At 43.2% G+C, this 21229-nt stretch overlaps 1 protein-coding gene across 13 annotated transcripts in view; it reads right to left on the bottom strand.

Moving 5' to 3' along the window:
- Window positions 1–21229, bottom strand: part of CNIH3 (cornichon family AMPA receptor auxiliary protein 3) — a 305915-nt gene that overhangs the window by 278362 nt on the left and 6324 nt on the right. For 2 of the 13 annotated variants that reach the window (NR_136291.2, NM_001322302.2), the window contains exon 2: window positions 7850–7915. The exons of 10 other annotated variants lie outside the window; for them this stretch is intronic. Coding sequence is in view for 1 of the 3 variants with exons in the window: in NM_001322302.2 (NP_001309231.1) it covers window positions 7850–7915 (66 nt within the window). In the remaining 2 variants the exon portion in view is untranslated. Of the gene's footprint in view, window positions 1–7849; window positions 7916–10218; window positions 10323–21229 lie in introns of all 13 variants that reach the window. One more of the 13 variants, NR_136293.2, reaches the window with a different exon arrangement.

The raw sequence follows: 21229 nt of genomic DNA, 5'->3' as shown, positions 1-21229 counted from the left end.
CTACTGTAAACTATGGACTGAGTGATAGTGATGTCAATGTAGGTTCATTGATGGTAACAAATACACCAACGGTGCGGATGGTGATAATGGGGGAGGGTTTACATGGAGCAGGGCAGGGTGTATATGAGAACACCCTGTACTTTCAGCTCAATTTTGCTGTGAACCTACAACAGCTCTAAAAAGTAAAAGTCTTTTTTTTAAAAAAAAGGAAAGAAGTACTGATAAATGCTACAACGTGGATGAACATTGAAAACACTGTGCTAAGTGAAAGAAGCCAGTCACAAAAAACTATATACTGTATGACTCCATTTATATATGTCCAGAATAAGTAAATATATAGAAAAAGAAAGTACATGATTAGTGGCCTACAACTGAGGCATATGGAGGAGAGAATGGGAAATGACTGCTAATTGATATGGGTTTTCTTTTGGGGTGAAATATTCTAAACTTAGATTGTGGTGCTGGTTGTTGCACAACTTTGTTAATCTACTAAAAACCAATGAATTGTGTCCATTTTAAATGGGTGAATTTTGTAGTATGTTAAAATCTTAATAAAGATGTTTTAAAACTGTTTAAATCACTATGGTAACTGAAGAAATCATTTATGTAAGGTATATGCATGTGAGGAAGAGATATATACTCAGAAGTAAATACATACGTCCATAGGTTCAATAAATTCCTTTTAGTTATGATCTTAAATCAGAGGTAAGCAAAGGGAAGCAAGTGTGCCTTGTGTGCTGATACTATTCTATAGAATACTGGTATGCTTATCTCCCCTTAAAGAAAGGGGAGTAAAAGCCATACTGGCTATAAACTCATGTTGTTTAAAATGTATAATGCATCAAAAATAAGTCTGTATTAAACATCCTTTGTTTAAAATATACAATGGAGGCCAGGCACAGTGGCTCATGCCTGTAATCCAAGCACTTTGGGAGGCAAAGGTGGGTGGGTCACTTGAGGTCACGTGTTCGAAACCAGCTTGGCCAACATGGAAAAACCCCGTCTCTACTAAAAATATAAAAATTAGCTGGGTGTGGTGGTGGGCGCCTGTAGTCCCAGCTACTCGGGAAGCCAACGCACAAGAATTTCTTGAACCCAGGAGGTGGAGGTTGCAGTGAGCTGAGCTCGCCCCACTGCACTCCAGGCTGGGTGACAGAGTGAGACTCCATCTCAAAAAAAAAAAAAGAAAAAATTAAATTTAAATAAAATATACAATGAATTAAGGGTAAAGTCATAATAAAAACAACTGGCTGGATGCAGTGGCTCTCGCCTATAATCCCGGCTACTCACAGCTACTCAGGAGGCTGAGGTGGGAGGACTGTTTGTGCCCAGGAGTTTAAGGCCATAGTGAGCCATAGTCACGCAATTGCACTCCAGCCTGGGTGACCAAATGAGACCACATATCTAAAAAAAAAAAAACCCAAAAAACCTACCACATGATCTAGCATTCTACTGCTGGATATATACCCAAGAATAACACAAAGGCACATACACAAATGTTCAGAGTAGCTTTATTTTAATAGCCAAATATTGGAAGTGATCCAAATGTCCATCGACAGGTGAATGGATTAAACAAACTGTACAGATGTGGTATATCCATACAATGGAATGTTATTCATCAATAAAAAGAAAAGAATTGACACACACAAGACACAAGAATCTAAAAAATAATTATGCTGCGTGAAAGAAGACAGACAAAAGAAGAGCACGTACTCTATGATTCCATTTATATAAAACTTAAGAAAATGCAAACGAATCTGCAGGGACAGAAAGCAGTTCAGTGGCTGCCAGAGAGAGGGTTTTCTCAGGGGGAAGAGGCCTAAGAAAACTTTTGTGGGTGATGGATATGATCCCCCTGTTGATTGTGGTGACAGTTTCACAGATGTAAACATATGGCAAAACTTATCAAATTATCCACTTTAAATATAAGCAGTGTATTGTATATCAATTATACCTCATTGTGGCTGTTTTAAAAAGATGACTCCAAGCTTAAGAAAGATAAACCAGGAGGGGTAGATCATGCCTGTAATCCTAGCACCCTGGGAGGCCGACGTGGGTGGATCACTTGAGCAACCTGGTCTTAAGCTCAGGAGTTCGAGAGCAGCCTGGGCGATATGACAAAACCCTGTCTCTACAAAAAGTACAAAAGTTAGACAGGTGTAGTGGCATGGGGCTGTAGCTCCAGCAACTCTGGGGGCTGAGGCAGGAAGATCGCTTGAGCCCAGGAAGTTGAGGCTGCAGTGAGCTGTGCACATACCTCTGCACTCTGGCTGGGTGACCAAGCAAGACCCGGTCAAAAAAAAAAAAAAAATAGGGGTTCCATGACTCTAACAACCCCTCCCCGCCCAGGGTGTGCAGGGGAACTGAACCAAGAGCCTCATTCCTGGCCTTGCTTTTTCTGAGCTCAGGCCCAGGGCTTTGCACAAGCTCAAATGTGCATTTTACAAAGGCAATCAGAGCAGCCTGTCTCTCCTCTCTGATACTTCTGGGCCCTCCACATCGCTACCCCCATATTTAAACGGAAGCTAAGAGACACTACTATCTATGTGCTTATGAAACCCCAGCTTCACTCCACCCCCACCCTGGGAAAGACTTCAAATTCAATAATTCTAAGGAGAAAGATAAGCACAAACAGATCTATTTTATTCCGTGTACAAAGTTCTAACAGAAGAAATGCCTCGCCCAAGATAGAAGTTGTTATTTCTTTCTTTACTGAGAGGTATTTGCCCCTTTGCCATAGTATAGATGAGAACAGGAAAATACTTGGGATATCGCTGAGGGTCACGTTATCTGTTATAATGAGGTTTGGCTCCATGGAATAGAAAAGTTGTTTTCATACTGCAAGGATTTCTTTTCATCACTTTGTTAAAGACCCGGAATAAACAGTCAGGAACTGTTTTGGCAGCTCTGTGAAGTCATCAGGGTTTCGGCCTTCTGTTTCCTCCAGCATGTGACATCCATCCTCAAGGTCACATGATGTCTGCTGAAGACTTGATCTAAGCAGTAGAAGGAAGAAAGAGGGGAAGGCAAAGAGAGGGGCCCTGGATGTCCTAGAAGATAAAAGCCAGGCTACCAGAGAGGAAGTCAGGTGTTTGGCCATTTGGAGTCAAACAGATAATAGACACTGGAACCAATCCTGGGATGGCATTTAGGCACCTTGGAGGGTGTGCCCTAAGAGAGCTGATCACTGGAGCTGAACAGGGCCTCTGGGTACAAGGACCACATAACAGTATGGTGCTTAAATTTTCCCCTTTTCTTGAAAAGTTGCTGCAAAGCGCTCCCCTCCTAAGTTCTGGCCCCGTCTTTCCGGGACTGTATTAGAAGTGCAAGCAGGGCCTCTCCTAACTGTGGACCAAACAGGCACTGGGAGACCCCACTGACACTTTCCCTGAATACCTCGCATCTTCCTCTGAGCACTCAGCTACCCAGTGTGTCTGATACCCATGGTGATTTGGGTATGTGGGTGGATCCAAGCAAGACAAAAGTTTGCTGTTCCTGAACACACACTTGAAAAGTGGTAAGGTCTCAACAAATTCATAAAAGTGAGTTCAGTATGTTATCATTAGGGGGAGTAGTAGGAAAGTGGTAGGAGGTCTGTTCAACAGTGGAAGGTTGGAATCAGACAGTAACAGCCACAGAGAAGGTAGTCAAAGGGTGGTTGCTGTCATCAGACCAGGCTCTCCTGCCCACCAACCGCAGGCCACAATCCCAGCCCTTCTCTCTGATGTCAGGAGCTGGGGAGCATCTGCCTTGCCAAGCCTTGTGCGATCGGCTCCTGGCAGCCTCACACCTGGTAGGATGAGGGACGGGGAGTGAGCCAGAGCCCCTCTGCTAAGCATAACTTTGGTAAGTGGGCAGCCTGCCCCTGAAGAATCAATACTGACAGAGCACTGCTGCCTTCCCTGCTGACCACACAGGGACTACGGGACCTTTCTCGGCTTTGGCACCCTAGCCACACGATGCCCCAGAACCAGTTTCTACTCAGCTCTGGGCTCTCCCACCACTGTCAGTGAATGAGATCAGAGTGAATCCAGCCGTACGTCACTCCTTAATACATTCAAAAGCACAGAGGACGTCCCTGGATGCAAAATCAGGAGAGGGTAGGAGCCCTGGAAGGGAATATCCTGCCCAAGTGCAGTACTTCACTATAATTATTACAGTAATACACTATTTCTGTTTAAGACCATTTCAAAGGGCACTAACTGGCATAAAGTAAAATAAGTCTGCTTCCTCCCCACACCTAGCTGCACTCTCTAGGGACCACCATGTATAGCTTCTGGTATACCTTTCAGAAATTTTCTATCCTAGTGTATTCTGTTGAATGCATGTGCAAGGATTTTACTTATAGATCATTCAACTAACAATAATCACTAATTTATAAAATGCATATTATTGACACTGACATTGGAGGTGGAAAAACAACTAAAAATGATAAAAGTGAACGTTTAATTCTTCCAGAGTGCAGTTTTTGAAATGACCACCAGGTGTCAGAGTTATCAACAGTAATCCCCAAATTACGACTGGAAAGTTACAAGAACAGAAAAGTGCCTGGCTGGAAATGAGACCGCGAGATTCCTCCCTTAACAGGATTCCTTGGCCCTTTGGCCCAATATTTCGTCTACTTAGTGTTGCAGGGAGGGAGGAAGGGAAGCTACAGACAAAAAAAAAAAAAAAAAAAAAATCCCCAGACCACAGATTCCCATTCAGTTGGGTACCCTTTGATCTTTAGAGAAGCTCTGTGAAAGCACTGTTAAATTTTACATGGGAAATGTAAAGGCTAGGCAGAGTCAGTCCTCCTACAGCTGCAAGGCTACTTTTGGAAGCCAGAGCTATCTCCTTCCTTCAGTAGGGGCGGAGAACAGAAGAGGACACGGACACACACACACACACACACACACACACACACACACACACACAGAGAGAGAGAGGAGGGCTCAGCTACGGCCATCCTTGTTTTAAAAGGGAAAATCCAATTCTGTTTGTAGGAGCACCTCCTAGTTTACCACCACCATCTCTTACTCACTTCCCACTGACTCCTCACATGCACTTCCTCTACCAGGCCTGACCTGCCTGCTGTCCTGAGCTGCTGACCTAGAAACATTCGACCTCCATGCTTGAGAGCAGGGTGTGGACCGTCTCCCCTCGCCACATCCAGGCTGTCGTCCAGGGGCAGTTACACCACCCTTCCTCCAGGGCAGAGGCCTGAGCGGGGTGGCCTTGCTGCTCCCACGCCCTGGCACCACATGCCTAGCTCTTGTAGAGCCAACATACCATGGAGGGCTCCAGGCGACTCCCACACAAGCCTCTTCCTGTATCTTCTTGGATCACTGATACCTGCACTGGCAGACCAGGAGAGTGAAGCAGTTACGACAAGGCCTTGTGCAAGGAGGGCACGAGAATGGCACAAGTGGCTGCAGAGTGAGCTAATGTCTTCCCTGGGAGGGCACAGCTGAAGAGTGTCAAAAAGACAGGGGGAATCTTTGGCCGGGCACAGTGGCTCATGCCTGTAATCCCGGCACTTTCGGAGGCCGAGGTGGGAGGATCTCATGAGGCCAGGGGTTTGAGACCAGCCTGAGCAACACGGTACAATCCTATCTCTACAAAAAATACAAAAATTAGCTGGGTGTGGTGGCACGCACTTATTGTCCCAACTGCTTGGGAAGCTGAGGTGGGAGGATGGCTCGAGCCCGGGAGGTCCAGGCTACTGTGAGCCGTGACTGCACCACCGCACTCCAGCCCAGGCAACAAAGTGAGACCCTGTCTCCAAAAAACACTTAAAGAAAGAAAAGAAAGGGGAATCTTTACATGTCCCATTGGCACTTGTCTAGGCTGCTCCCTGGACCACATCTCATGTCTGAGCTATGGGGCTAGGGAAGGGATCAGACAGGATTCAGACCCCCTACACACTGGAGCTTTTTGTGGATGGAACGTTGCTATGCAGAACAATGCAGAGCTTGTGAAAAGAAGCAGGAGGTGGTGTGAGGAGAGGGGAGCAGGGAAGAAAAGAGTGCCCTCTTCATGGACCATATTATGCATGTTTCAATCCTACTTGAGATGTGACTTCCACGATTTCTGACAGATTAAGGTGACCTTTTTATGTGAGTTGAGTAACCACATCTGCTAAACTGGCACATCCCATATTCACCACATGAAGCAACAGTAATTACTTTAGTCACTATACACTTTAAATGCTATATATAGAGAATTTAAAATGATACACCTGTGGTGCCACAAATATAATGTCAGTTATTATTAAAACACTGGTAGTATTCATATTCAATATGACAATACACTATGTTTGATGTTTCAAACATAAGGTTCAAGCCAAATGCTTCATATAAAAATATCAAGGGGTAAAACAATGTTTATACCTGGACCACCATTCATTTACCATGACTGATATAGTAACTGTTGCTTTAATGTGGCCGACACAGGTTTGGCAACTGAGATTTTCCTCCATTATCTTATAACACATAAGGGGTACAGAACAGAAAGAACCTCTCATAATGCTATTCCTATTATATCCCCTTCCTGAGTAGGGTCAGACTAAGCCTTGGGCAGGGACCACCCAGCATCACCCTCATCTACACTGGGTGTGTCTACCTCAAGGAAGGGTTAATAATGGGCCTCCCCTCTGGGCACTGAACTCACTGTTTGGTGACATTTGGATAATCCTGGGTCTACTAGATTCCTGGTAAGTCAAAGAACATTCCAAACCTCTCCAAAGTCTTCCTATCAGTCACAAGTTCTACTTCATTAGGCCATTCAGATGGTAAGGGTTTCACAAGGCCAAGACAGACTTCACTGGTCTATGTGTATCCTGAGGATGGGGTGGTGAGAGGAGGAGGAGGGTGGATTCAGGCCCCCACCTCACTCATTCAAATACAGATGGTCCCTGACCTATGATGGTTCAGCTTACAATTTTTCAACTTTATGATGGTGTGAAAGCAATACACATTCAGTAGAAACCATACTTTGAGTACCCATACAACCATTCTGTTTTTTTACTTTCTGTACAGTATTCAATTACATAATATTCGACATTATTATATAATAGGCTTTGTGTTAGATGATTTTGCCCAACTGTAGGCTACTGTAGTGTTCTGAGCACGTTTAAGGTAGGCTAGGCTAAGCTATGAAGTTCTGTAGGTTAGGTGGATTAAATGCATTTTCGACTTACAATATTTTCTACTTACAATGGGTTTATTGAGATACAAACCTACTGAAAGTCAAGGAGCATCTCTGTACCTGCTTGCCACCACCCCCTCCAGGTTATTCATGCTTTAAGTAGGTGAGTCAGAGGAGGTGGGTGGTTATATTTGGTTTTGCCATGTGTATGGTATCCTAATGACAGTGACTCCTCCCTCTAGTTAATCCTTCCACAAGCGACTCCACCTCCAAGCCCTGCACTCAGCCAGGTAAAATGCCTAACTGAAAATCTCCGGTCTCTTCACCAGTACCAGAGGCCGATTCTCTTCTAGAAAGCAAGGAAGGAAATCATTGATGTGAACACAGAAGCAGAAGACTTTCTGAGCCAGTCACGAGCTTGGGTGCAGAGTGAGGCCAAGCTCAGACAGGTCACTGACCATAATTATCCCTCCCATAAGGGCAGCCTTCCTCACCTGCAGCCACGCAGCTTCTGAGGCAGTGACAAATAGCTGTGCCTGTCGAAACTACAGAGGAAACATTCCTCACCAGGTCTCTCAGTCCAAGCTTCAGGGACGGGACCAGAAATGTAAACAGACTACACCAATAGAAACAAGAGAGAACTGGTTCTCCTGCTCTCTGGATGGTTTATGACATTTCAATTATGTTCAACACAATATAGTTGAATTATTTTTAACCTTACCAAGCCTCCTAGCTTTGCAAAAGAAATATTAGTTGATAGAGTGGAAGGACAGCTAGAAGCAGAGATCTGAAAAAAAAAAAAAAAAACTTACTAGTAGAAATGAGCCTGTAAATGATACTACTCACAATATTGGGTAGATAAAGCATAGCACCTTTTACTCAAGGAACCATGAGTAAGGGACATTTTGGGTGTTGCTTATTTGTAATTTACTTCTTAGAATAATATAGTGCGTTTTCTTCAAGCAGTTTTGCTGTTATTTCAGCAAACGGAAGAGAGGAAACCTCAGTTCTAATTTCCCCAGTAGCTGTGCTGTCATGATTACCATCCTACTAGAACAGTTCAAGATAATTCTGCCTAAAGTTAAGACAGAGATTCTTAATGCGCAATCTTTTGGACAATATGACTAGTGTCTAAACAAACTGATCTCGGGTTTTAATAGTTCTGTTGAGGGGAGGGAGGATAAAGAAGGGTCCCATTTCTTCTCTTTGTTTCACTTTTCTTCTCCCCTCAATGCTATGAAAATCTTTCAAAACTTGTCAAAGGTAGCAGGGCACCTGTAGTCCCAGCCATGAAGGAGGCTGAGGCAGAAGGATGGCTTGATCCCACAATTTTGAGGCTGTAGTACACTTTGATCATGCCTATGAATAGCCTGCACTCTGCATTCCAGTCTGGGCAATATAACAAGAACCCATCTCTAAAAATTAAAAAAAAAAAAAATCCCACCTTGTCAAAGGCATGCAACAACCTCACAGTGAAATATCCAAAGTTCTTCTGATTATGGTGTTAGAACTTAGCATAAGAGTTGCAACTTCCAGTGACTACAGGTGCCAAATAGATTTGTTTCATAGTATCATGAAGCCAGGTAGAGTGGCTCACGTCTGTAACCCCAACACTTTGGGAGGCCAAAGTGGGAGGATCACTTGAGCCTAGGAGTTCAAGACCAGCCTGGGCAACACTGTGAGAAACCGTTTCTACAAAAAAAAAGAAAAAAGAAAAAATGGCCAGGCATGGTGGCTCATGTCTGTGGACCCAGCTACTCAGGAGGGCGAAGCTGGAAGGACTGGAAGATGGGTTGAGCCCAGGAAGTCGAGGCTGCAGTGAGCCATGATCACACCACTGCACTCCAGCCTGGATGACAGAGACAGACTGTCTCTCTAAAATAAAAATATATATACACACAATATATATATTATATGTGTATATAATACATATAATTTTTTTTTGAGATGGAGTCTCTTTCTGTTGCCCAGGCTGGAGTGCAATGGCGTGATCTCAGCTCACTGCAACCTCTGCCTCCTGGGTTCAAGTGATTCTCCTGCCTCAGCCTTCCCGAGTAGCTGGGATTACAGGCATGCGCCACCAAAACCGGCTAATTTTGTATTTTTAGTAGAGACGGGGTTTCTCCATATTGGTCAGGCTGGTCTTGAACTTCTGACCTCAGATCATCTGCCCGCCTCAGCCTCCCAAAGTGCTGGGATTACAGGCACGAGCCACCGCACCTGGCCATAATCTTAAGCTATCTTCTTTTGGCCCTGAAACCCTTTTTTTTTTTTTTTTTTTTTGAGACAGAGTTTCGCTCTGTTGCCCAGGCTGGAGTGCAGTGGCGCGATCTCGGCTCACTGCAAGCTCTGCCTCCCAGGTTCATGCCATTCTCCTGCCTCAGCCTCCCGAGTAGCTGGGACTACAGGTGCCCATCACCACACCTGGCTAATGTTTTTGTATTTTTAGTAGAGACGGGGTTTCACCGTGTTAGCCAGGATGGTCTCAATCTCCTGACCTTGTGATCCGCCCACCTTGGCCTCCCAAAGTGCTGGGATTACAGGTGTGAGCCACCGTGCCCGGCCAACACTTTACTTTTTAAAATATCCATTTCTTCTTGAAATACAGCCCACTTTGCTAGGCACAGTGGCTCACACCTATAATCCCAGCACTTTGTAAGGCTGAAGTGGGTGGATCACTTGAGGTCAGGAGTTTGAGACCAGCCTGCCCAACATGGTGAAACCCTGTCCCTACTAAAAATACAAAAATTAGCCGGGCATGGTGGTACGCGCCTATAATCCCAGCTACTTGGGAGGCTGAGGCAGGAGAATCACTTGAACCCGGGAGGCGAAGGTTGCAGTGAACCGAGATCGCGCCACCGCACACCAGCCTAGGCAACAGAGTGAGACTCCATCTTAAAAAAAAAAAAAAAGACATTGGTAAAGGAAATAGTTCACTTTCGTCTTAATTCTACTATTAGAAAAATAATAGTGCAACATGGAGGAATTTCAAAAGTAAAAATAAATACAAGTGGCAGCTGACAGTCAACCTCAGTATCTGGGAGGCAATAGGAAAGCGTGGCGACTCTGGTAATTTGAAAAGCACATAACCTGTATAGAAGCAGAAGCCACTATGAACGCCAACCATCTGTTTTTCAGAAGTGTGGATCCAAGTCTTTGAAGAGAAACCAGAAGTCCAGATTCCTATGTGTAATCTGTCAATTTTTAAATATGGACTATTAGCTTAAAAGAAGTCATCGGGTCACCACTTTGCTACCCCACTTTACGAACCAGAAGCAATCTGACTGGGGATAGAACTGTTCTGGAAGTCAGGGAGCCAAGACTGTTAAAGCCAGCTGACACCAACCTATTTTCTTCCCCTGGGCCAAAGATCTAATCATTCTGGGCCTCAGTTGCCTTGTCTGAAAAGTTTAGAGGTCCAAAATTCCTTTCAATCCTAAAATATGGCATATGGGTGAATAAGTTTTCTAGATAGTCAATACTCACAAGAATAACCAGGAACATAATTAAATGAAAAACAAAACTAGATCATTGTGCCATAGCAGGCTCTATTACATTGTCTAGACACAGCCTTGGTGTGACCAAGCTATTCGGTTAACATAACCACAAGAATGGGAACACTTTTATCAGAACAGATCTAGTTTCCAATATCTACCCACCCACTGGGGAGAGAAAAAAAGTATGGATCTCTAGTACATCATGACTCTGGCAGGAGCACCCCTCTATGAAACAGAACTCTTGGGTCTTTTGAACCCAAACCAAGCATTTCAAGGGAATAATTCTGAGTCAGAACAAAGCTGACCAAGAGGCTGCCCCGAGCCACGGCTCTTGCTTGACAAGTTCATGCTCAGCCTACCTGCGATGAGCTTTGTAGTTGCCACATCATGGTCTCCTGCAGGAGCCAACTGCACTAGGAACAGCTCTTGTTACATAACCCTCGGCCATACCCCATGACTGTGCACGAGGACATGGCTTTGCCCTGCACAAAGGCACACAGGATTTTAGACATGGCATCTTGTTTTTCAGGGAGCACAGAAAGGAAATAGAAAATATGAGGCTGGAAAATAATAAGGAATAGATAAATTAAGGGCCTTTCCCACTGTAAAGGTTAAAAGCATATTTCAGAACAAATAAAAGTGTTCACATTCTTGTGGTTATATTAACTGTGTGCCTTGGGCAAAGTGAAGGCCCAAAGAATAATGGAAACCCACATGAACTATAACTGGTGGCTCTTCACACAGGCCATCTTGACACAGACCGCATGGCTCCAAGTGAAATGTGGAGGGGGTGTCTGCTCCCTACATTCCTAAGTACTTTTGTGCCTCAGTTGTGAACAACAGGACCTTTTTTATTTTGCTATTAGCAGCTGCCAATAAGTATCTAGTACATCTTAAAGAATAATTTACCTTTGGCTCCACAACCAGCTATGATCTCCCTTCGGTTCTATCTCCCTTAGAGGCATTTTCTTCATTGTGTCCTTTTAATGCCTTGGCTTTAGCTAACCAGGGTGTTTATTCTAAAAGTCAGTTCGTTCTTACCCTAAGTCCTTTGTATTATCTGTTCCCTCTGCCTGGAATGCTCTTTACCCTGATCTTCACGAGAGTAGTTCATTCAGATCTCAGCCTCAAGGGTACCCCTGAGAGAGGCCCTCCCTGGCCATTCAGTAGACAGGGTCTTCCCACGCACTATGTCATGTGGTCCTTCTTTAATTCTCTGCCTAGCACGTCATACCATCATACCGTCACACCACCTGATACATTTCCTGTTTCTTTCTTTTTGATGCATTTCCTGTTTATTTATTTCTTTTTGCTGGTCTTCCCTAGGAGACACAATACAAGACTAGAATATAAGTTTGTGTAAGCTTATAAGAATATAAGCTCCATGGAAGTAAAGATTTTGTGTCTTGTTCACTGCATATTTCTAGCACCTTGAAGTGTCTTGCATATAGCAAGTGCTCAAAAAATATTTGTTGAGGGAGTCTCTGAACCTATTCTGGCTCAGGGGGCTTCCCAATAATATATACATATATGTATGTGTGTGCGTGTGTGTGTGTGTGTGTGCGTGTATAATGTGTGTATGTGTATATATACGTGTGTGTGTGTGTTGAAAGAATGAATGGATGGTTTGGATGAATGGAAGAATCCATTCAGCAAATATCCACAACTGAAAGCAGGCCACAGGTTCCAGAAGCCCCAAGAGGTCTGGTGTGACTGGAGCCACAGGTGAGGGACTTGAGGGAGACTGGGCCTCCAAAGACAGGTATTGGCCAGTTCTTAAGAAGCCATGCAGACCAGTACCTGGACATTAGATTTTATCATGTAAGCAATGAGGGCCACTGAAATCATTTTACATAGTTTTAAGTAGGGAAGTGACATAATGGTTTCATGCTTTATAAAGAAAATTTTGTAGCCGGGGGTGGTGGTGTGTGCCTGTAGTCCCAGCTCAGGAGGCTGAGGTGGGAGGATCACTTGAGCCTGGGAATTCAAGCCAGCAGTGAGCTATGATTGCCCCACTGCACTCCAGCCTGGGTGACACGGCAAGACCCCCTCTCTTGGAAAAAAATAATAGTAATTTTGGTAGCAGTGACGGCAACAAATTAGAGAAAGGAACAAAACATTTAGGAGGCTACTGTCTAATCCAGGTAGAATAAAAAGATGTAAACCCAAACTATTAGTGGCAATGGAGATGGAAGAGAGGAGACAGATTAAAAGCTATGAAAAGGGTAGGATCAATAGAGTTTAGTGACACAGGAGATGCGGGAGGTGAAAGAATGGATGGGGTTAAAGAGAATCCCAGTTTCTGGCCGGGTGCGGTGGCTCACACCTGTAATCCCAGCACTTTGGGAGGCCGAGGCAGGCGGATCACAAGGTCAAGAGATCGAGACCATCCTGGCCAATATGGTGAAACCCCATCTCTACTAAAAATACAAAAAATTAGCCGGTCATGGTGGCAGGCACCTGTAATCCCAGCTACTTGGGAGGCTGAGGCAGGAGAATCACTTGAACCTGAGAGGCGGAGGTTGCAGTGAGCCAAGATCATGCCATTGCACTCCAGCCTGGGCAAAAAGAACGAAACTCCATCTCAAAAAAAAAAAAAAAAAAAAGAATCCCAGCTTCTGATTCGTGTCAGTGGGAGAAATTGTGACATTCTTCATGGAAATGAATAGCTCTCAGGCAGGCACGAGGCCTCTGGAGCTCTAAATTCACTCTGCCTGTGAGGTGACTGAATCTGAGTTGGCTTGCTTGCATGAGCTCATGGATACTTGCCCAAGTGGCTATCTATGGTCCTAGCATAAATATGAGTTTATCTGCTGAATAAGTAAATGCGTACAGAAGTCCCTCTGGTGTGGGTACATGAAATGTGCAGTGCTGGTGATTTATCTGTTCATAACGATACACGTGGGATTGCACTGCACGGCCATTTTGGGAGGCACACACTGATCCATCACCATGGACGCATGACTATTGGTCTAAATATAGATGTGCCTGTCACCTCAGAGAAAGAACAGATCAGAAGTCATGATCCCACTTACTCCAAGAAAACTTTAAGGTGACAAACTTGAAAACATCAATGAATGTAATGTTTCTTAAGTCTGAATCTGATCTAAAGATCAAATTATAATTACCTCCCCTGTTCCATTTTTCTTGACTTTAATTGCTAATTTAACCCCAGCCTCTTCCAAAGTAGCCCCACTTCCATTCCAAGATAATTCTGACAGTCCTCAAGGGACATCTCACAGGTACTCAAAAGCAAGTACAGTCAGCTATCTATCAAGATGCTCTGTGAGGATCTCCAGTTTATTTCTGATTTTTTTTGTGTGTTTTTTGGGAGACAGGATCTTGCTCTGTCGTCCAGGCTGGAGTACAGTGGCACGATCACAGCTCATTGCAGCCTCAACCTCCTGGGCTCAAGCAATCCTCCCACTTCAGCCTCCCAAGCAGCTGGGACTGCAGGCATCCGCCACCATGCCTGGCTGAGTTTATCCATTTTCTCCTCCTCCAGCCCCCATCTGCTGCTGCCACTTGAAAGACTATATAATGTTAACAGCATGGGCTCTAGTGACTGCCAGCTTAGGTTGGAATCCTGGCTTTGCCCTTGACGAGCTGTGTGACCCTGGGCAAATTATGTAGCCCCTCTGTGCCTTAGTTTCTACCCTTGTAAAAACAATAATAATGTTATTATTTTCATTAACTAACCTCTAGCCTACCTTGTGGAGGTGCTTGTGATGATTAAATGGGTTAATATTTATAAAGTACTTAGAATAGTGCCTAAAGCAGAGCAGGCACTGAATAAATGCCAGCTATTATTTCTACTACCTTCACTCCTACTGGCCATGGGGACACCTCTGGTGGTCCTGCCATAAGTTGCCAAAGCAATGGGGGTTTATTACAAGGTAAGGGACAATGCCCTCTTTGTAATATGACATCAAAGGCAGGTACAGCTTATGTCCAGTGTTTTCTGAAATTACCACTGTGATGGTTAATTTTAGGTGCCAACTTGACTGGATTAAGGAATAGAGAACTGGTGAAGCACTGTTTCTGGGTGTGTCTGCCAGGGTTTCCACAGGAGACTGGTGTGTGAGTCAGTGGACTGAGTGGGGAAGACCCACCCTCAATGTGGGCGGGCACCATCCAACTGGCTGGGGGCCCAGATAGAACAAAAAAAGGAGAGAAAAGGATTTCCTCTCTCCTGGAGCTGGGACACTCTCCTACTCCTGCCCTCAGTCATCAGAACTCCCGGCTCTCTGGCCTTGGGACTCCAGGACTTACACCAGCAGCCCCCTAGGTTCTTGGGCCTTTGACTTCAGTTTGAGAAGTACACCATCAGCTTCCCTAGTTCTAGGGCTTTCAGACTTGGACTGAGCCACACTACCAGCATCCCAGGGGCTCCCGCTTGCAGATGCACCCTATTGAGGGGCTTCTCAGCCTCCAGAATCCAGTGAGCCAATTCCCTAATAAACCCCCTCTCATATATCTATAGATCTAGATCTATCCTATTGGTTCTGTCTCTCGGGAGAACCCTAACACAATTCCTAAAAGTTCTTTACATTTTTACTTGCAGCCCTCCCTTCTTATACCATCCTCCAAAGGACTGAGATGAGCTATGAGTCCATGGGCACCCAGGCTAGAAGGCAAGTGAGTGACCGACACCATCTACCCTCCCTCCCTCAGGGTTTTGTTACGGGCTCAGCTGGGTCCAGTCTGGCTCCAGCTCCCTTAGGATGAGTTCTGCCCAGGAGACTCTTTCCTTCCTCACCTAGATAGACTTCTTTGAATCCCCCTCTTCCCAGTGCTTCCAAAGGGGGAATTTAAATCTGATTCTTTAAAAATAATGAAACACCAGCTGTATCATTAAATTATTTCTAAGTGGAATTCAGACTTAATTTGAGTCTTTTAACAGTAGACTTTTAAATGAAGCTCCTTAACTCAAGACTAAAGAATACTACTGATGTGGGCGTTCATCTTTGATGATGAAGTCCCTGTTGATAGTCTTAACATTAGGACAGGAAGAGAAAAATGAAATTTTAAACATACCATTTACGTTAGCATCAAAAAACATCCGATACCTAGGAAAAAGATGTACAAGACTTCTACACAGAAAACCATGAAACATTACTAAGAAAAATTAAAGACTTAAAGAACTATGTAAGTAGAGAAACATGCCATATTCCTAGACACAAAGATTCAATGTTATAAAGATGTCTGTTCTCCCCAAATTGACCCAAATATTTAATGCAGTTCCAATCAAAATTTGACAAATTGTTTTGTGGAAATTGATGAGTCTATACTTTATATGAAATGCAAAGGGCCCAGAATAGCCAAGACAATACTGACAAAAAAAAAAAAAAAAAACAAAGTTGAAATAATTATACTACCAAATGGCAAACTTACTATAAAATTACAGCAGCAAGTAAGTCAGTATGGTATCAGCACAAACTTTTGCCAGTTAAGACATAAAGATATGTGAATACAGCAATTGAGCAGAGAGTTTAGAAACATACCCACACATATACAGTGCTCTAATTTATAACAACACCACTGCAAGATAGGGGGGAAAGGATTTTCTTTACCCTGTGGTGTGGGTCAACTGGACATTCACATGGAAAAACAATGAACTGTGGCCCCTACCTCACACCAGTCAGAAAACTAAACTACAGAATGGTTGTAGACATAAACATGAAAGGCAAAACGTTGAAACTTCCAGAGGATATAACACAGAAGAATATATTTATGCCCTTGAGGACGAGAAATGACTTCTAAAGTAAAACACAAAAAGCACAAACCATAAAGAGAACTGATGAACTGGATTTCATTAAGAACTTCTGTTCATCAAGACAACATTAAGAGAGCAAAAGCAAACCACACAGAGGGAAAATAAATTTGCAGTACATACATCCAACAAAGGACTCACATCCAGAATATACACAGAATTCCACACATCAATAATAGAAAGGCAACACAATCTTTCTTTTTTTTTTTTTTTTTTTTTTAAGCAGAGTCCCACTCTGTCACCCAAGCTGGAATGCAGTGGCATGATCTCAGCTCATTGCAACCTCCACCTCCCAGGTTCAAGCAACTCTCCTGCCTCAGACTCCCAAGTAGCTGGGATTACAGGCATGCGCCACCACGCCCGGCTAATTTTCGTATTTTTAGTAGAGACAGGGTTTCACCATGTTGGCCAGGCTGATTTCGAACTCCTGACCTCAGGTGACCCACCCACCTTGGCCTCCCAAAGTGCTGAGATTATAGGTGTGAGCCACCACACCCGGCCAAAAGGCAACACAATCTTAAAAGAGGAGGAACAAGCAAAAGATTTGAAAAGGCACTTCACAAAAGAAAACATCCAAATAGCAAAAAATGTATATAGACATACATATATGTAGGACTATACATACACTTACTTATGTATTTATATACACACACCATTAGTCATCAGAGAAATGCAAATTAAAACTACAATAAGATACTACTGGGGTCCTGGTAACGTTCTATTTCATGACCTGGGTGATGGTTTCACGGGTACGTTCACTAGAAAAAACTGAGTTGTACAATTAAGGATGTATATACTCCTTTCTACATATTATACTTTAATAAAGATGTTTACTAAAAAAAAAAAAAAAAGGGCCGGGCGTGGTGGCTTATGCCTGTAATCCCAGCACTTTGGGAGGCCGAGGTGGGCGGATCACGAGGTCAGGAGTTTGAGACCAGCCTGACCAACATGGTGAAACCTCATCTATACTAAAAATACAAAAATTAGCCGGGCGTGGTGGCGCACGCCTGTAATCCCATCCATTCAAAAGGCTGAGGCAGGAGAATTGCTTGAACCCGGGAGTCGAAGGTTGCAGTGAGCCGAGATCGCGCTACTGCACTCCAGCCTGGGTGACAGAGAAAGATTCCGTCTAAAAAAAAAAGAAACCAGCAGGGCGCGGTGGCTCATGCCTGTAATCTCGGCACTTTGGAAGGCCAAGGAGGGTGGATCACACGGTCAGGAGTTTGAGACCAGCCTGGCCAATATGGTGAAACCCCGCCTCTACTGAAAATGCAAAAATTAGCTGGGCATGGTGGCACAAGCCAGCTGCTTGGGAGGCTGAGGCAGGAGAATCACTTGAACCCAGAAGGCAGAGGTTGCAGTGAGCCACTGCACTCCAGCCTAGGCAACAGAGCGAGACTCTGTCTCAAAAATAAAAATAAAAATAAAAATAAAAAAAACCAAATGCCACATGTGGGCCTTTTTTAGATCCTGCTTCATACAAGCCAACTGTTAAAAGAAATTCTGAGACAGTTGGAAAATTTTGAGATTAATTGCATATCTGATGACAATATTAATTTTTTAGGTGTGATGATGGTATTAAGGCAATATTTTCAAAAGGAGGTTTTATCTTTTAGAGCTATATACCGAAGTATAAGTAAATATATTATAAATAAATAATATCCTGGATTTACTTCAAAATAATCAGGAGAGAGGACAGATAACACAAGCATAGATGATAGCTATCATAGCTGGATGGTGGGGACATGGGAATTGCTACACCATTTCTTTACCTTTATGTATGTTTAAAATACTGCATAATAAAACTTTTTAAAAATCTAGAACAAATCCAAGGTTTTATACTGTTTGCCTATTTATGACTCTTGTCTTCTGCCCCTACCTGGGCTAATCAAATAAGATTATGTAGTAGCAATGCAGCTTCCATAAACACTGAATCCCTAGGCTATAGGGACCTCAAGAAATCATCTTGGCTATCCCCTCACTATCAGGCAGTCTCTGAAACAGAGGACATCCCAAACCACATCTGCACACTGACCAGCACAGGTGACAGTGTCTCTACTCTCAGAGAAGCAGCCTAAAAAAATATATATATATATCTATATCTATAGATATCTATCTATCTATCTATCTATATATATAATTGGGCAGAGCAATCATTTACCTATATTCTTTGGGGTGTATGCCAAGGTAAGGTCTCTAGGTAGCCCAGTTGCTTTGTCTAAAACAGAAGACTCTTAAAAGAAGCTCCTGTATTCTCCCTGAGCTGACCTTTCCTGTCTTGTCCCTCGATATTAAGCTTATGCTATCGAGCCTCATCTCAGTTAGATATCTGTGGCTTCCTTTGCCAGCTGACCTAGCTGGAGCTGCTAATGGAGTAATCAAGTATGAATTCCTGTATAAATCAAGTCTGGCTCTTATTCCAGGGATCTAGACTACTACAGGCCTACACAATTTAGAAACCCTCATTAGATAGATGCAAGTAGTTGTAAATATAAACCTAGCTAGGGCCTTCTGACTTAATGTGTCTCCCAGGAAGCCCTCCAGGTTTGGAAGCCTTCTCAGTTCACAGGGAAAGAAAATTCATTTCCTCCTTCTTGCCTTCCTTTGCCATTTCAAGATGAAGTGTTCTAAATTGATAAATCTCCAAGTTAACGCCTAGCTTAGTGTGCTATCCCTACTGGACATAATGTCTGTTTCAACAAGGATTTCTTGGAGAAATGAACTCTACCTTTGGTACAAAGCATTCAGGTACCCCCTGTGATAGCTTCTGGAGGAAAGAAAATCTTTTAGTGTCCCTAATGGGCTTACTTACCTACTACTAATTAGGTTAATGAAATGATACAGGCTTCAAAGGTGAGGAGCCGAAGTTTCATATACCCAAAAAGGGAAAAGTTCAAAAATGAACGTATAGGACTTGCTCCATTTTTCCTTTTAACCCCTAAGGAATTTAAACAGTGGCTACTTTTCGGACTAACACAAGCCGTCTCCAAAAAGTCATGTAATGAAGGTGTTGAGAACACAGCTCTGGAGCCACGCACCAGCTATATGACCTCAAGTTTTCTGTGCTTCAGTTTCTCACCTGTAAAATGTGGCTAATGAAAATACAGCCTTCATAAGGTTGATGGGAAGATTAAAAGAGTACAATATATGTAAAGCACTTACAACCTTGTCTTCCTAGTGTTAGCTCTATTATTTCATTATCACAGAAGCCCTGCTGTGGACATGCGCCATCACAGGGAAAAAAAAGGCTAAGAATGGAACAACTGGGCACTAGGAAACAAAATGAAAAGAACAGTGTTGTTGACACTCTGGCTAAATCTTAAAAACACATCTACTTCTATGCCACAGTATTTGTCAATAATCTGGGGACAGAGAAAAAGACATTCTGAAATAAGGGGTCAGAGCTGTAGCAGAAAATGTACATCCTTATTTTTCAGGAATTTATAGAGAAAGGCTACTGTTATGTGTGATGATACAAACCCCAGTAAGAGAGGCCAGGCTCTTGCCTATAATCCCAGCACTTTGGGAAGCTGAGGCGGGAGAATTATTTGAGCCCAGGAGTTCAAGACCAGCCTGGGCAACATGGGGAGACCCTGTCTCTACAAAAAGTTAGCCAGGTGTGGTAGTGCATGCCTGTGGTCCCAGCTACTCGGGAGGCTGAGGTGGGAGGATTGCTTGAGCCCACCTCAAGGTGGGTGCAGTGAGCCATGATCGTGCCACTGCACTCCTGCCTGAGCAATGAAGGAAGACCCTGTCTCAAAAAAAAAAAAAAAAAAAAAAATTAAGGGAATCAATAAATCTCCCAAACTCTGTTAGTCCTGAGTTGGCTAAGCACCCCTCCACTAGCCACAAGAAGCTAAGAGTTATTGTTTTGCTTTTTGTTGTTAATGACTGACATTCATGGTCTTTCATTCAATAAATTTTTTAAAATTTAGGCTATTATAATATTTCATGTTTGCCTATACATTTAGTATTATTTAGTAAAGAGCATAATTTTAAAAAATAACAATTAACTGAAGAAGCCTCGAGATCCCTTCAATAAGTTTTTAAACTTTATGAATAATCTACTACAGTCTTTAAAATTTTTCTGTTTTAAATGCCTAGTTATTGGTCCATTACATCTACAGGGGATGCATACACATATTCAGAAACATTTTCTTATGATAATTAGAATTTGTTGTTAACAGTCATAATTGTGTTTTACCATTGATTATTGTGATTATCATAATGTCAGAGGGATGAACAACACATTCGAAACTGAGAAGAAGGAAGACTGCCCAAAGGGCCTGTTGTTAGAGTCTATGCAGGGACTCCTGGGGCTATTAATTATTTATCTACTTTTCAAAGTTAATAAATAGGAATGCCTTTTTGCCCTTTATTCCCCAGAAGAACTTAACCAAATGAGAGATGGGGTGGGTGTGTGCAGAGATGGCAGTGTGAGAATATAAGAGGTATGGGTAATGAGAAGGAGATTTAGAAAAACAAATACTTACTGTCAAATATACTTAATAACATTGCCTTATCTGGCATGTTTTTATTATGAACATTTTGATGTTTTTTGAGTGTTCTTTTAAAAACGTGTGCTTTAGAAGCATAACATTAATAAAAAAGAAAGAAAAATTATATACAATCTCACAACCCAAATAACCCCTTGGCACTTTTTAAAAATACTTCATACTGGCCGGGCACGGTGGCTCACGCCTGTAATCCTAACACTTTGGGAGGCCGAGGGGGGCGGATCATGAGGTCAGGAGATTGAGACCATCCTGGCTAACACGGTGAAACCCTGTCTCTACTAAAAATACAAAAAATTAGCCGGGCATGGTGGCGG

The sequence above is a fragment of the Homo sapiens genome, chromosome 1 (assembly GCF_000001405.40).
Source record: "Homo sapiens chromosome 1, GRCh38.p14 Primary Assembly".
NCBI lineage: Eukaryota > Metazoa > Chordata > Mammalia > Primates > Hominidae > Homo > Homo sapiens.
Note: the sequence above shows the minus strand (reverse complement) of the source record. Positions and strands in the feature narration are given on the sequence as shown.